Raw genomic sequence first — 12,833 nt, 5'->3', positions numbered from 1 at the left:
GGCATACTTTTTTTTTTTTTTTGAGATGGAGTCTCGCTCTGTTGCCCAGGCTGGAGTGCAGTGGTGCCATCTCTGCTCACTGCAAGCTCTGCCTCCCAGGTTCACGCCATTCTCCTGCCTCAGCCTCCCAAGTAGCTGGGACTACAGGCATCCGCCACCACGCCCAGCTAATTTTTTGTATTTTTAGTAGAGACCGCATTTCACCAGGTTAGCCAGGATGATCTCAATCTGTTGACCTCGTGATCCGCCCGCCTCGACCTTCCAAAGTGCTGGGATTACAGTGGCATGCATTTTTTAACATTGAAAATAAAGTCACTGAGAAACATTTCTCCCTTTCAGCTTTTCCTCTGCCACACTGATTATATTCGTTCTTTCTAATGTTTCAAGTAGATGCTTTATCTCCCAGTTTCTATCAATCATGGATAATTTCTCTTTGCTGTCAAGACACCATATAAAACCAATTGGAGCAAATCAGAGGTGATGCCTTTATGTAATTTATACCAAAACTTTCTGCAAAGACTGTAATTTTATATAAAGTTTAGACCCAATTAAATAGCTAGCCATATGTTACTACATTACCTAGAGATAGTTTACCAGGATTTTGTCCCACTTCTATAATATTTTAAGTTAAAACTTATAGAGATACTGAGTTATTTTCTGAGCTTTCCTAGCATTAGGAGATATACCTAATGTTAAATGACGAGCTAATGGGTGCAGCACACCAACATGGCACATGTATATATATGTAACAAACCTGCACGTTGTGCACATGTACCCTAAAACTTGAAGTATAATTAAAAAAAAGAAAAAATATTCAAAAGTTAAACAAAAATACTTCAAACTCATGCCACTGAAAACGTACATCTTACTTTACATTGCAATTTCATTTGATACAAAATGTAAGTATATATCTAAAATTAGGCATCAATCTTATTTTTAGATTATTCATTATAATAATATTCCTTGTTGAATCCATATTTTTGATGTACAACAACATTTTTTCTGTATATAGTGGTACCCTTCAATATCTGCTATAAATGCTTATTGTTGCATACATTTTTTAAAAAGCAGTTAATAGCAACTTAAATAAGAACTTATTTTATGTAAATACATGGTGAGAGGTGGTAGCAGGATGGATGCAGAGCAATTTATTTGTTTTTTCCCACATGCTTGTTAATTCATAGCTCCAATGGCTTTAAACATGTCTATATACGAGGCAGAAAAAGATGAAAAATTGGAGAAAACACAGCAGATTTCCACATCTATCTTATTGTCTAGAACTGGATAAAATGATCACTCAGAGGTGGAAGAAAAACAGTTGATGTTGTATATCCACATCAGGAATGGGTGTCTGCAACACCTTTCTATACAGACTAGTGTTCAATTTTGTTTTTCTATGTAGAGTACAAATAAAATTCAGTGAGTTGAGTGTTTTGAGAAATACCACACATTCTTTAAGAAATACTACACCTTAGCAGGAAGAAAATATTTTTTTAAACACTTTTTATTTTCTAGGCAACATAAAGGCTAATTAGTGATTGATTTAAAGATGAATTAAATTTCAATTAGGCAAAGTGTTAGACATTGTATCTTTAACCAAAGTTATTATTATTTTTGGGTAATTCACAATGCATTCAATTTTCATCTCAACTCAGCACCAATTTTAAAATGTGTACTTTTAAAACAATATCAGAAAATTTTATTCACATATCTCATGTTCAAGATGTTAAGAAAATCCTGCCAAGACTAAACATTTTCTGAATCATGCAAATGAAATATGCTGCCCTTGAGAACGAAAATCTTTGTGTGGTTATTGACTTGTTTTTATTCTCTGGGGGACAAAAAGAGTTTGTTTGATCAAACTACAGGAAAAATCATCATAATAAGAGTTAACATTTTATACCAATGAGCAAGTCATTACACACATATACACACAGAAGAAATCAGAATGTGAGTGATAAGAATACCAGCCATGTGTGTCAAATCATCAGTTTGCTTTGAAACTGTGCTATTCATTTTATCCATATGTAAAATGGTTATAATAGTATTATGTCATTTACCTCCAAGATTGTATTCAAGGTAAAATGAGTAATGCTTGTAAAAACAATCTGAGATAGTGATATCAATCAAGCTTAATGTTAGAATATGATACTGTGATACTGTACTCAGCGGTCACTGATGTATGAGTAAACAAATGCATTAAATTAGAGAAAATCTAATTTATAAATCAGTAGTTAAAGAAAGAATAAAATGAGAAGAAATTTTATTGTAAAATAAATAGAGAAGAGAATAAGAATATCTTATGGTAAGATAAGAAATATATAATGCCAAAAAAGAGTTTGAAAATATGGAGAAAGCACCAATTCTGTATTTATGAATTTTTCTATTCCTAATACAGAGCATTGTACTAAGCACGAGTATTTGTTTAAAAAAAATCAATTACCTAATCACATATATTGCAAAGGTCACATGGATCCCGCTGACCTCTACAGAAAGTCCAGACCAGGGCTAAACAGATAATTTGAATGAGAATGAGAAGTATTAGGAAATGTACTATGGGAATATGTGTTAGGTATCAGAAAAGTCCTAATAAAACAAACAACATTTAATGATAGACTAAAATACAATAAATATTACTATTTTTTTTTTTAGTGACCAACGAATTTCCAAAATTAAGCATGACTCCATAAGAGGAAAAAACATGCTAACATGGGCATTTAACCTATTATAAAGTACTCTGGTCAACTTTCAGATGAGCCAGGGATTCAGTCACACAGGTGCCTGAGGGACCTGGAAGCCTGGCAGAAGTATAACAGTGTAAGTATTGAACTAATCTGTTCTAAGCACAGCAGGATGCGGGACCTTCAAGAAGGAAGTTGTTCTTGAAAGCTTTGGTAGTGAGAACTTAGGAAACGAAACGTGTAGAGTAAAGTTCCAGTAATGTGTTTTTGAAATTTCTTTGCAGAAATAAAGAAAGAGGCAGAGAGGGCTTTAGAAGAATAATAGAAATTCCTGGTGCCAAGTCCTAAGGGCCTGCATTGAACTAGTTTCAGAGGGAATAAAAAGAACTTAGTAAGTAGAAATGTGAGTAGGTAGAAAAATGAGAGCTAGGAGGGAGACAAAGGTAGCCATAAAAATTTAAACTTGGGATATGGGAAAATTACCCTTTCAAAAATGAAAATTGAGTGGTGGTGCATGCCTGTAGTCCCAGCTACTTAGGAGGCTAAGGTGGGAAGATCGCTAGAGTGTGGGAGGTCAAGGCTGCAGTAAGCCATGATCATGCCACTGCACTCCAGCCTGGGTGATAGAGTGAGACCCTGTCTCAAAAAAAAAAAAAATTAAAATTGAAAAGTCCAGAGAAATCATGGCTTTTGGAGCAAAGATGGATTCAAGTTGATTGAAGGGTATCCAACATGAAGACATCCTACATGCAAGCAGTCTGAACTAATGGAACTCAGGAGAAAGGCCACATGTAGATAGAAAAATGTAAAGTGATAGGACAAAGCCATGGGAGTAAATGAGATTTTTGAATAACAGGGTACAAATAGTAGACCTGAGTTCAGTCCTACATATTTTCTATAATATATTTTGGGTCAGGAAAAGAGTATTGTAAAAAAAAGAATGATTCAAATAAAAAAGTAAATGAATGAGAAGAGAAGCAAGAGAATGCAGAAGTATGAAAAGTAAGAAATATAAGAAATATTTGTAGTCTGAGAAGCAATCATTGAAACTTTCAATTCAAGAAGAATTAACTCTATTATGCTGTATTGTGCATATATTTTAAAATGTATACTTGAAATTCTGTGTCATTTTATTATCATCCAGTAAGCCCATTTTAGGGAAATGCCAGATAAATGAATACACAGATAAATACAAAATATCCTTAGTAGTTTATTGGGAGAATCTGCGTGTGTATATATATGTGTGTAAATATATATGTGTGTGTATATGTGTATGTATATATAATATGTATGTATAATTATATACGTATTTACATATATACACAAATATGTAAACATATATATGTAAATATGTATATAAGTATATGTGTGTATGTATATGTAAGTATATATGTATACTTATATACATATTTACACATATAGAAACATGTAAATATATATGCATGTGTAAATATGTATAAGTATATATGCGTATGCTTATAAGTATATACATGTGTATACTCATACACATGTTTACACATGCATATATATACACACGGAGATATATACATATTTACATATATACATATATACACACACACATATTTTCATGTATTCTAAAGTAGAATTCTTATTAAATCAGAAAAAAAACAGGGGATCCAATGTGCAAATACTCTAAATCTAGTTTTAGAATTTCCCTGGATAAATTCACATCATAGTACTTATAACCAGATATTATTTCAAAAGTGCAAATTCTCAAATGAGAAAAAAAGTCACTGATGGATCCTACATAAGTAGATTCAATGTTATGAGAAAATCAGTTTCCAGTGTATTATGGATAGATCCAAGATAAAAATGCATGACCATCAATGCTCAGAGTTCTAATTTCCTGACACTAGAAGCAGAATCTACTGTATTTGCTGCAGTGAGGACACAGTTCATACGACAGCCAGTGATATATTTAATGTAGAAGCAGTAGTTGTCACGAATGGGCTTTTTTATACGCAGAAACTTACAGTCACTTACCCCATGGTGGTATTTACAAGCCATTTTGAACATCAAACGGAATCTCTAAGATGATAAAAACACCTTCCCAAAACAGCCCTACTCTCCTGAGGACTCCATGGTTTTCATTCAGGGCCATTTTGTCAGTTAAGTACTTTTAGTCATGATGCCTCATAACCAAGAACTTTTCAAAATCCTGTTAAATTGGTATCAGAGAAAAATGTATACTGGCTCTAAAATTAAGTGACAGAAGAGGGTGCTCTCTGTCTGCATGGGGTTTGCAAGGTAGGACCCTAATGAACCCTTAAAATGGGAAACAAAATGTACCTTGTTTTTGTCCAAGTAATTAAATCAGAAATAATTCCAGATGAGTTATCTCTTTTCTGAGAAAAAGTCATAAGTCGTAGAAAACCCCAGATTTATAAGTTATTTTCTTATACTCTGTATGTTTTTCAGCATGAAATCATTCAGAATTCTTTGTCCCCTTTTTATACACATTTGTTCACAAGGGAGCTTTCTAAGACTCGATTGCCCAATGGCTGCTTAATGCTTTAATGTGCCTCAAGCAGTCTCACAAGTAATATGTTTCCCCCTCCCAACTGTGAGCTAGAAAACCTTAAAGGAAAGGTAAAAATAACAAACAAAAACACAAGGAAACCTTTCTGAATGATAGTCAATGTCTAGTGTCATTTATATTCCATTTAAAGTAATAAATATTTATACATTTGACAGCAATAAAAGGGATTCACAATCTTTATTTATTGGAATGTTTTTGTTAATTTAACAAGATGATGTTAACTTTGGGCCCTTATTGCATTTAATAAAAGGGACATGGTCACTTATAGATAGGGTGTCTAATAATCATACCTTTCTCTTCCTAAAAGTTCCAACCACGGATAACAGAAGTAGCATATGAAATGGGAATCAAGGATTCAGTTATATTAAGAGAAGTCCTGTGCCTTGCAAAGTACAGATCTCAGTGGTGAAGCTGACCTGGAGAACACAGGTGGACTAGACGCCAAAGTTGTGGATTTGAGGGCAAAACCTCTCTTTGCCCACACTTCCACACTCAACCTGAGAATTCTTCTGGTCACAGAGAGTTTCATGACCTCCATGCAAACCAATATGGTATCACAATAGAGACAAACAGATAGCACAAAACTTTTTATTCCTTTTATATGTGATCTGAGTGGTAGAGCCATTTATATCAAGTGAAAAGCAAGATTTTATTCTTTGGAGATAAGTTAGTGAAGTTTTAAAGTGAAAACTTTGGGCATATAGAACTCTTGCAAGGGAGAAATAAAAAGATCACTTGACACTGTGGGGGTTCCAACTATAGTCCCAATTCATGGCCATGAATCTTATCAAAGTGAGAGCAATTCTCAAACATAGAAAAAGATGAAACATGTGTGTGAAACTAGAGTGATATTTTCTCAGGTCAGGTCTGTATAAGGACAGTAAGACAACAGAATTTATTACATTGTCTGTCTAGCTGTTACTTGTAGTAATAGGGGCTAGCGTAGAGCTAGCATAGCAGCTTAGCAGCGTAGCAGGGTAGAGCTGCTCTATAATTTTGATTACTTCATCTGCTCATTCAAAACAAGTATTAAAAGAAACAAAATGTAAAAGGCTTCTCATACTTTGTTCTTTAAGACAAAAAGTGTAAACAATCTATGGTTTTTCATTGTCGTTGAAAGCCTTCAGTGTTTTTGACGACAAAGCACTTCTTTTTTAAAATAAGTGGTTTTACTAACAGAATATTATGGGTTGATACATAGTTTTGTGAGGTACCCATACTCCTTTTGAGGGAAGTCACAATTAAATATGATTGCATTTTTAGTCAATCAAATACTTTTTAATCCTCATACAATTTATATGCTGATTGTGTAATGACAGAAAAAAAATTGATGGTATTTAGTATAAAGATGTACACATAAACTGGCTTTAACTAGAAATGTAAATGAATAACAAAAAAGCACTAGGTGATTCCATTAGATAAAAAATTATATGTTTCATTGATTAATGCTCTCACTTATACACTCACCAAAAAATTTAATATCGATTACACTCTGGGCTAGAGGTTCCTAAATAAATAATAAAAAGAATACAGACTCTCTTCATATGATGCAATATAGTTACTACATTTCTCTAAAACTTACTGTTATAGACTTATATATGTTAGAAAGATGATTATTGAAAATAGAATCACAAGAAATGAGTGGGGAAGAAATATCAAGGAAGGTAGAATAAGAATTGTCCCACATTCCAAATATTTCCAGTAAACAACGAACATCTACAAACAGAACACAAAGCAAATTGTTTGCATTTTCCTGATTAGATTTTGGCAATTTAGGAACAAGTAATATGGAACATCTCAATTGAATGCTCAATTATTAATATAATCAACACAATATTGTGTTGTTTTTAAAATAATTTTGAATTACAGACAGGTATTGATGAAAATGAGTCACACATAGAATTAACTTTTTTTTAAAGTTCCTACTGTTAATTTGCTTAATCCTTTATTAGAAAAATATCCAATTGTATTTAACATAAAGATATATTATTGTATTATAAAGATAGGAGATTGGTTTTGAAAGTGAAGAAGATACAGCAAATGAACCCTACACATCCCTGATATAAAACATAATTCAATATTCACATTTTATCATATATTTTTATAGAAGTAATTTATGTTATTATTATTATTATATTTTTAGAGGCAGAGTCTCACTATGCTGCCCAGGCTAGAGTGCAATGACTATTCACAGGCATGATCATGAGCACGACAGCCTTGAACTCCTGGGCTCAAACAGTCTTCCCACTTCAGCATCCTGAGTAGCTGGGACTGTAGGCACATGCCAACAATCCTGGCTTAATTTGTTGTATAATGAGATAATGGCTTTCTTAATATTTTTCTTGAATTGATTTAAGTACCCAATTCTAATCCAAGTGCTATGGACAAATAAATCAAGATAGAAAACCAAAGGGGTTCCTGAACTGATTATATAATTTTTCACAGCCCAAAGTTACCTAAGTGACTTTTTCTAAAGCTGACAGCTATAGTGAGATAAATGTCTGCCCAGAATCACTTACAGTGGACCTACTTAAGGACAAGAACAGGCCTGGCATGGTGGCATGCCTGTAATCTCAGCACTTTGGGAGGCCTAGGCAGGAGGATCCCTTAAGGCCAGGATTTACAGGCTAGCCTAGACAACATAGCAAGACTCCATCTTTACAAAAAAATAGAAAAATTAGGTATGGTGGCACTTGCTTGTAGTTCTACTTACCAGGGAGGCTGAGGCTGGAGGATCTCTTGAGACTAGGGGTTCCAGGTTGCAGTGAGCTATGATAACAACATTGCACTCCAGCCTGGGGGACAGAGCAAGACGCTGTCTTTAACAAAATAAAAAATAAAAAAAGAACAGGAACAACATCTAGATTACTCTATTTTCTGTATCCATTGCTAGATCACACCTTTTAAATCTCTCATTATTTATGAAAATCCATTTGCTATTTGGTTCAATCTTGGTTTAGATTTGAAGTAAACTGAGATCCCACAAACTGAAGAGGCTATCATAAATCATTGTCTTTCAAATTAAAATAACAAAGTATATATAACTACTACTTTACACTGGTTAAGAATAACAGAGATTACATCAGGGCTATGACTTAGATTATTTTTACCTTTGCTAAAATAATGAACATAGAGTTCTTAACTAATCATTTGTTTCAAAGCTTTTAAAGCCATTGCTGAGACTAATAACCAGCATTTGGATAGTTAAGAATTTACTCTGTGTGCAATGTGGAAGGTAAGTTGTGCCTATATCAAAAGGCTTTTGGATGTTTAAAGAAAGTATAGCTAGATTGAAATAAGCATTGCACATGTATAACATATACCATTCAAAGATTTACAGTGGATATTAACAATTAAATATGGATATCTGAAGGAAGCTTGAGCAAAGAGACCAGTTGAATTTGCTTTACTTACCAGTTCCCAGGATTATTAAACTAGGGACACTGTACACAAGTCAAGGAATTCATGATGTACATGTCTTTTCTCATATCCCAGTATTATAACAGTAGCAAAAGAATTATCAAAACACTTACTGCATGTTGGGTGATATGGTTTAGATTTCAGTACCCACCCAAATCTCATGTAAAATTAGAGGAGGGTCGTGATGGGAGGTGACTGAATCATGAGGGTAAACTTCCCCCTTGCTGTTCTTGTGATAGAGTTCTCAGGAGATCTGATGGTTTAAAAGTTTGTGGCACTTCCCCACTTGCTCTCTGTCTCTCTCCTGCCACCATGTGAAGAAGGGGCCTTGCTTCCCCTTCACCTTCTGCCTTGTCAGTTTCCTGAAGTCTTCCAGTCATGCTTCCTGCTAATCCTGCAGAACTGTGAGTCAATTAAACCTCTTTTCTTCATAAATTATCCAGTCTCAGGTAGTTCTTTATAGCAATGTGAAAACTAATACATTGGGAATACTCCAATTTTACAAAAATGAACTCATTCAATATTCACTCTAAAGAGTTTTTATTTTATTTGAATAATAAAGAGCTCCCAATGTTACCCAAGTATTTAGAATTATTATTCAGATTTTATATTTGTGGATTCTAAACTGCAAAAGTTTGTTAGCATTTGGCAATGTTTTTTAGATTGGTAACTAATACAAAATGTTTTACCTCATATCCATATACATTGTATGGGCTTACCCCCCTCAATTAATTTTAGATCATCTGAGAAATAAAGCAATTACTAGTGGTCACATAATTTGAATCCTATTTAAAATTCTAATGTAAATGTTTCCTTTACAAAGTTAAAAATTATTAAACATTAAAAGCTAAAATCATTGAACTGTTTTTACATGAATAACTTTTGTTTATATCAATTTGATAGAGCTAGTTGTTTCATATAACCTGTAAATCTCATACAATTTAACAAAAAGAAATAAAATGTATGTAATTAATTATTTGTAATAGTTCACATAATTTCATTCTCAAGTTGCTATGACCTGCCTTCAGAAATTGCTATTCCATGTTTACTTCATTTAAAGAGTAAGTTGACTCCATCTGTAGAAAATAGATTTTCCTATGTCTTTAATGGAGTTTTGAAAATTATCATATAATCTTGAAACTCTGAGTCTCTTTATATTTTGTAATAGGCTCTTGTGAAATTTTGACACATGGCTTTCCTCTTTTGTTTTTTCTTCTGTGTCCAATGTTTTTGTTAATAATTTTCCTCTCCTTGACATAGTTTTCTCCTTAGATGTAATACTATTCTTTTCTTCAAATAATCTTGATTAAAACACACACACACAAAAACACACGCGCTTACACTAGTTTCTAGTTTAGGAATAAAGAAGCCACAAAAATCCATGCAGAAACATTCTCCCAACCAAACACTGATGTGAGAAATAAGTTTAAATGAAGATGTATTCTGCCATTCCATAATTAAAGCTTAGTTTTCCTGGAAGAAGTAATTGATGGATCTTATTGTGTAAGCCTTCTCACTCATAGTTACAATCCTTGTAAATTCTTCTATTTAGTCATCACTTTTTTATAGCTCATTTTCCTAACTCATTAAACTTATATCCCTTTTGCTATATTTTGAAAGCCATAGTACATTTAAGATATATAATATTGTACTGAGACATTACAAAATAAATGTAATTGAAGTTGAGAGCATATATTATTCTTTGCAAAATATTGAATTTCTAAGTGAAGAAAGTGAATACATTATGATTATACATATATATCTTACATTTTCCTTTTTCTAAGTCTCTAATGTATTTCAACAAAAATCTCAATTATTGATTTTGTTAAACTGCTTGTCATAGCCTCTATGGTTTTTAGATAATGAAACCTCATCTTACTTTCTACTGTATTCCTAGAAAATTATATTCTAGTGCCTTTTTATCAACTAAAATGGTCAAAAAGAGAATAATTTTTCTGTACACTTGCAAATTTCATTCTTTATAAAATGGACTTTCCATTACATTAAATTTGATATATGACCTTATCATTGTCTACCTGGTTAAAAATTGCTAACATTTGTTATATGTATTAAATGTTAATTTTGTCTTGAAATATTTAAGCATCTAAAATGTAGTACATGTTGACTTATAATTTTGTTATGATATTTTGAAAGACAAATTAGGGTGCTGGTGCTTCTGTAACATGTGGATGATGATCTATACATGCATTTTGACGTAATATTCTAAATCTCATGGGGAATTTACATTCATTTATGTCTCATTGATTTTTGTGTTACAATCTACTACATGTGATATATTGCCCAGAGGAATTAATTTTTTTTGTATCTCTTTAGTATTTAAGAGTTCTTGGTTTACTTTTCATTGTCTCTGAAGGATTATGTAAGAAATATTTTGCTGTCTCCTCTAAATAAAAAGAAAAAAAAACTTTTCTAATACTTTTCCTTTTTAGACTATTAACCATATAATAGTTGCCCATTCTAATTGTGAGTTCAGTTTTTATATACATGTTGCTCTCTGGAAAGGCTGACCATGAAAGTAAAACTGAATTTTAGTTAGGTTAAAAATACTCCAGTTTGTAAGAATCTTGTATAGATTAAGTTTTCATACAGTGACTCACTCTCTTGAAAAAGAGATAGAGAGAGACGTATGTTGGTTCATAGAAGGGAAGGTTTTGACTTTCATGAAGGGGACAATTATGTGTTTCTAAAGCACTTGTCTTCAGGAGAGCAATACTTTCAAGAATTCTGTCAGAAGCGTTCTCGTGAAGCAAGATCATAGTTCATATTTTAGTAGCCAGAGTAAATTTTCTTAGGAGATCTGTCTTACTTATTGTGCAACAACACATTTTCTAACATTTTATAACTTTAACAAATCAGAGGTACAAGCTACAGAGCTTCCTGCTGCTCTAGTGTGACTGTGAAGCAGCAAGAAGATATCACGGGGCTAACATTCAATTGGCTTTTGTCTTAGGCATTGTTTATAATTATCACAAATGATTGTCACTTAAATTATTTGTGCTTAAATTTCCTCATCTACAAATTAATGAAGTTTGCCTGCATAGTCTCTAGTGTACAAACAATATCAAGATGCATACATTATGTAATATAACAAGTAAGAATTTAAATATTTGACATTTAAGGTTGAATTGAATTTCATAAACTAGAAACCCATTAGATGAGAAAAAAAACAATTCTAAAGTACTACTTGCTCAGACAAATTCCCAAATTTTGAGGAGAGGCTGAGGAGGGCGGATCACGAGGTCAGGAATTAGAGACCAGCCTGGCCAATATAGTGAAACCCTGTCTCTACTAAAAATACAAAAATGAGACAGGTGTGGTGGTGGGCACCTGTAATCCCAGCTACTCAGGAGGCTGAGGCAGGCGAATCACTTGAAACTGGGAGGTTAAGGTTGCAATGAACTGAGACTGTGCCACTGCATTCCAGTCTGGGCAACTGAGCAAGACTCCATCTCAAAATAATAATAATAATAAATCCCAAATTTTACTTATTTTCCAAATTACTAATAGGTTACTTTCCTTATTAATTTATTGCATTATTTTATATAAGTTTCTATGGAAAGTATACAACTTCCAGATTTAGATGGAACCATATGCCTTATTGTCTTTTATCATAGTAGCCATGAAGTATATGAGCTAAGTGTTTTTGTGTTTTGTTTTGCTTTAACAGTAAATAAAACTTGGTTGTTATTAAGGCGAGTAATTGGTCCTTGAAATATCACTTCATTTAGTCTCAATGCACAATAACATAAATTGAGGGTTTTTTTTTTTTTAAAAAAATCTTTGTACAACTGTCTCTTATTTTTCTGAGGCTGTTTTGAAAACATCTTATAAAAGTAAGGAAGTGTTAGAGACGTGAAAAGAAGGGAAATCCATACATTCAGAAATAATGCATTTTGAATGAAATGTAACTACAAGTTAACTCTAACATTGTTTATTCCATCTTTCTTTAGCTCTGTCCATGTGCATATAATGTGATATTTAAAGGGGAACTAGTGATCCTTGGATTAAATAGACCCATTTTCTATAAATGTATCACTCTTCTAATAATAAATTGTTGCACCTTAAAAAGAACAATAAAGAAATCCTCAAAGCAAAGAGGTGTTGTAAAAAATGATTTTATTTTAAAAGAAAAAATAAGCACAATGTGAAAA

The 12,833-nt window shown here is 32.7% G+C and overlaps 1 long non-coding RNA gene across 1 annotated transcript in view; it reads right to left on the bottom strand.

The window, feature by feature from the left end:
* Positions 1-12,833, bottom strand: part of LINC01194 (long intergenic non-protein coding RNA 1194) — a 230,327-nt gene that overhangs the window by 201,451 nt on the left and 16,043 nt on the right. Inside the window, exon 2 of the long non-coding RNA NR_033383.1 lies at positions 7,955-8,036. This is a non-coding gene — a long non-coding RNA (long intergenic non-protein coding RNA 1194). The remainder of the gene's footprint in view (positions 1-7,954; positions 8,037-12,833) is intronic.

This window comes from Homo sapiens, chromosome 5 (genome assembly GCF_000001405.40).
Source record: "Homo sapiens chromosome 5, GRCh38.p14 Primary Assembly".
In the NCBI taxonomy this organism is placed as follows: Eukaryota; Metazoa; Chordata; class Mammalia; order Primates; family Hominidae; genus Homo; species Homo sapiens.
The sequence above is the reverse complement of the archived record's forward strand: the minus strand, read 5'-3'. Positions and strand labels throughout refer to the sequence as shown.